Source organism: Homo sapiens, chromosome 17 (genome assembly GCF_000001405.40).
Source record: "Homo sapiens chromosome 17, GRCh38.p14 Primary Assembly".
In the NCBI taxonomy this organism is placed as follows: Eukaryota; Metazoa; Chordata; class Mammalia; order Primates; family Hominidae; genus Homo; species Homo sapiens.
The window spans coordinates 42,283,741-42,287,438 of record NC_000017.11 but is presented as its reverse complement, the minus strand read 5'-3'; the positions used below and the strand labels follow the sequence as shown (position 1 = coordinate 42,287,438).

The following is a 3,698-nucleotide window of genomic DNA, read 5'->3' as shown; positions in this document are numbered from 1 at the left end:
GGGCCTCCCCTCTGCCTGGCAGCGGGTTGGCAGCACCAGAGGAGGGGCCAGCCCAGCTGCCCACTCACAGCACAGCTGGGCCAAGACTGCATGTTCTGTTGGGGGGGGTGCATTCTCATCTGCCTCCCTCCCCAGCTGCTTCTCAGAGCTGCCCTTTTCTCTCCATTTCCACTCTCCTTTCTTGCCCCTTACTACCTCTCCCAGTTTCATTCTTTTAACTTCAGAGGAAAAAAAAAAAAAGAACTTCAAAGCTGCAGAAGCCAAAATGTCTGCGTTCTCCCCACCTTCTCTGTGTGGTCACAGTGTCTTAGTTGGCAGGATCACGAGGAAAGGAATTGAAAACTCTAAGGGGGTGCATGGAGGATGTAGGGAAGCCTTGCTTCCCAGATGCTCTGCAGGGGGCCCCAGGGAGGAGGAAGTATAGTCCCTCTCCTCTCCTTTCCCACTCTGAGCAATGGATTTGGCAGGGGAGGGTCAGACACAGAGCTAGGGGGTCAACTGGAATGAAAGCCAAGTGCCACAGCTGGAAGTGACCATAAAGATGATTTTACAAGTGGAAAAACAAAGGCCAGAGAGGGGAAGTGACTTTGCCACCGTCATGCAGCCTGTCGGTGGCTGGATACAAACCCATTGCCACATTTGGGTGGGTCCCACTTGGCACCTGTGCCCTCCAGCAGTTCCCTTCAGGCAGGTGTGGAAGTCAGTTGATGGGAGCAGATTCCTCAGGTTTTCAAGTCCTCTCACCCAGGTCTGGAGGGCAGAGGGCCACCCTTGCCATGCACTGACATCTGGGCACCTGATGGGGTGGGGGTGCCTGCTTAAGAGAGGGGGTCCTGCCTGCTCTCTTCCAGGCAGCCACCTCTCTAGACTTCTCCTCCAGGGCCTGCAGAGGCCTGTTGCTCCAGCAGGCAGCCCCACCCACCAAACATCTGTCTTGGTTGGGCCGGGCTTGGCTTTAGTGTGGGTAGTCCTAGGTCCTAAAAAGCTAGCATTGAGGTGCCAGAGTACAGAATGGGAAGGATGGGCCTAAAAGGGTGTGTGGCTGTGTTTTCAGAGCCCTCCCGTGCCTCCCACCCTGACCCTGTGCCCAGTGGCTGTGCCCTTGGTTGACCATCCCTCATTTGGTCTCTGACTGTAAGGCCCCGAATATCTGTGTCTTTCATTGCACATTTCCCCTTCTGGGTTTTTTTTTTTTTTTTTTTTTTGAGATGGAGTTTCGCTCTCGTTGCCCAGACTGGAGTGCAATGGCGCGATCTTGGCTCACAGCAACCTCCACCTCCAAGGTTCAAGCGATTCTCCTACCTCAGCCTCCCGAGTAGCTGGGATTACAGGCATGTGCCACCACTCCTGGCTAATTTTGTATTTCTAATTTTGTATTTTTAGTAGAGGCGGTGTTTCTCCATGTTGGTCAGGCTGGTCTCGAACTCCCGACCTCAGGTGATCCACCCGCCTCGGCCTCCCAAAGTGCTGGAATTACAGGCATCAGCTACCATGCCCGGCCCCCACTCTGGCTTTTATTCTCTCTGTGTCTCTCCCTTGTCTCCTTAGGTCTCCATCTGGTTCTCTGATTCTGTCTGGGTTTCTCTCCATTTCTTCAGGCCTGTTCTCCCTTTGAGATGCAGTGGGGAGGAGGAGGAGCTATGGAACTTTCCCAGGATGGGCAAAGGGCACCCAAGGGAGTAGAGGGAAGGGTGTCAGAGTTGGGTTGGGAAGAGGTGACTGTAGTCGTGGCTCCAGATAACACAACTACCCAGAAATGTCAAATTTGGGGTTTCTTTTTGCTTTCAGTCCCCTTGTTTGTCCCCTTGTGTGGGTGATTTCCCACCACAAAGTGCCCTGGTGATTTTGGGGAACCAGGCTGTGGAGGAGAAAACTGAGGCCACGGGATGGGGGTTCAGGAAGATCAGAAACTGTCAAGGGTCTGACTGAGCTGCGGTCCGAGGCTGGCCTCCTTGCCCCTAACTGCTCTTCACCCCCAAATCCAAGTCACAGTATTAGATGGGGAGTGAGGAAGGATTTTAGAAATCTTACAGAAATATATTCCCCAGGCTAGGTGCAGTGGCTCACGCCTGTAATCCCAGCACTCTGGGAGGCTGAGGTGGGAGGATCACTTGAGGCCAGGAGTTTGAGACCAGTCTGACCAACATGGTGAAACCTCGTGTCTACTAAAAATACAAAACAATTAGCTGGGCGTGGTGTCACGCACCTGTAATCCCAGCTACTCGGGAGGCTGAGGCACAAGAATCTCTTGAACACAGGAGGCGGAGGTTGCAGTGAGCCGAGATCATACCACTGCACTCCAGCCTGGGCAACAGAGTCAGACTCTGTCTCAAAAAAAAAGAAAAGAAAAAAAAAAAAGCAATATATTCTCCAAAAGAAGACCTCCTATATTTTATTAGGAATAATAATAGTCTGCAGCCTAGGCTTCAGTTGGCACACTATATTCGTATCCTGAACTACATCAAGGCACATTTGTGTACAGACATGGTTGTGCTCTTCAACTCAACGGATCCTTTCAATAACCTTGAAGGCAGTCAGGGCCAGAATCACACCCTTTGATTAGTCCATGAAAGAAACCTGCCCAAAGCTGTCTGGCCAGTAAGTGCACAGATGGCACCAGGATCCAAGTTGCCGGGCCTTGTGGGCAGGGTCTCAGTATAACCTTTCTAAGCTTCCCCAAGCCCAGCACACACCGGCGGAGTGAAGAGGCCTCCCTGGGCTGGGCTAGCCCACCATTTTTCTGCGGTGCGGAGCATGGCATCTCCATTCTCGCCCAGCCTACACCCCTGCTCTATTGAATGGGACAGTGTGCTCTGTGCACACTTACATGAAGGTGGGTTTGAGTTTATGGATTAAGAGAATTATCCCAAAGGGCCGGGCATGGTGGCTCACGCCTGTAGTCCCAGCACTTTGGGAGGCTGAGGCGGGTGCATCACCTGAGGTCAGGAGTTCGAGATCAGCCTGGCCAATATGGTGAAACCCCGTCTCTACTAAAAATCCAAAAATTAGCTGGGCGTGGTGGTGCACACCTGTAGTCCCAGCTACTCAGTACGCTGAGGCAGGATAATCACTTGAACCAGGGAGGTGGAGGTTGCAGTTAGCTGAGATCACGCCGTTGCACTCCAGCCTGGGCAACAAAAGCGAAACTCCGTCACAAAAAGAAAAAAAAAAAAAGAGGGAGAGAGAAAGAATTATCCCAGGTCCCCTTTCTGCCTTGCCCTTGACGATCAGGTCTGCCCATGCCCCTACCCTGGGGAGAACAGATTGAGGTCACCTTGACTTGACCTTCCTTGGGGGGTGGAGGGAGGTGGTACAGAGATGCCTTTGTTTCCTGTGCTCCAAGTCCCTTCTTCAAGGAGAGTTCCTGTTACATGGGAGCCAGAGGGGAGGTGGGGTAGGGGTGAAGGGCCTTCCCAAGAAAGCTGGAGGCTTTCTAGGAAGTATCTTTTCACCCTGCGGCAAAGGGGAGAAGCCCTGGAGCACTTAAACATCCTGTTTCACCCCCACCTTGCCTCTGCTTGGACAGCCTACCTGCACTCCAGCCCCCACCGGAGAAGGCTTCTAGAAGTGGGGCCATGGGCCCATGCTCAGAGTATACCCCACCTCTGAGGCCAGGCCCTGGTACCTCCCTATAGAAATGCCACCCCCATTCTTGTCCAAGAAGACAGATCAGGACCTAGGGAGGGTGTGTGTTTATA

The 3,698-nt window shown here is 52.9% G+C and overlaps 1 protein-coding gene across 2 annotated transcripts in view, besides 1 other annotated feature; it reads left to right on the top strand.

Annotated features, from left to right (window-relative positions):
* Positions 1-3,698, top strand: part of STAT5B (signal transducer and activator of transcription 5B) — an 89,194-nt gene that overhangs the window by 932 nt on the left and 84,564 nt on the right. The gene's annotated exons all lie outside the window — the stretch shown is intronic.
* Positions 168-227: an enhancer, noted in NCBI's record as "active region_12192". NCBI's record gives its function as "activates an Ori minimal core promoter by ATAC-STARR-seq in GM12878 lymphoblastoid cells {active_cell/tissue: GM12878}" and the evidence as "EXISTENCE:reporter gene assay evidence [ECO:0000049][PMID:35858748]".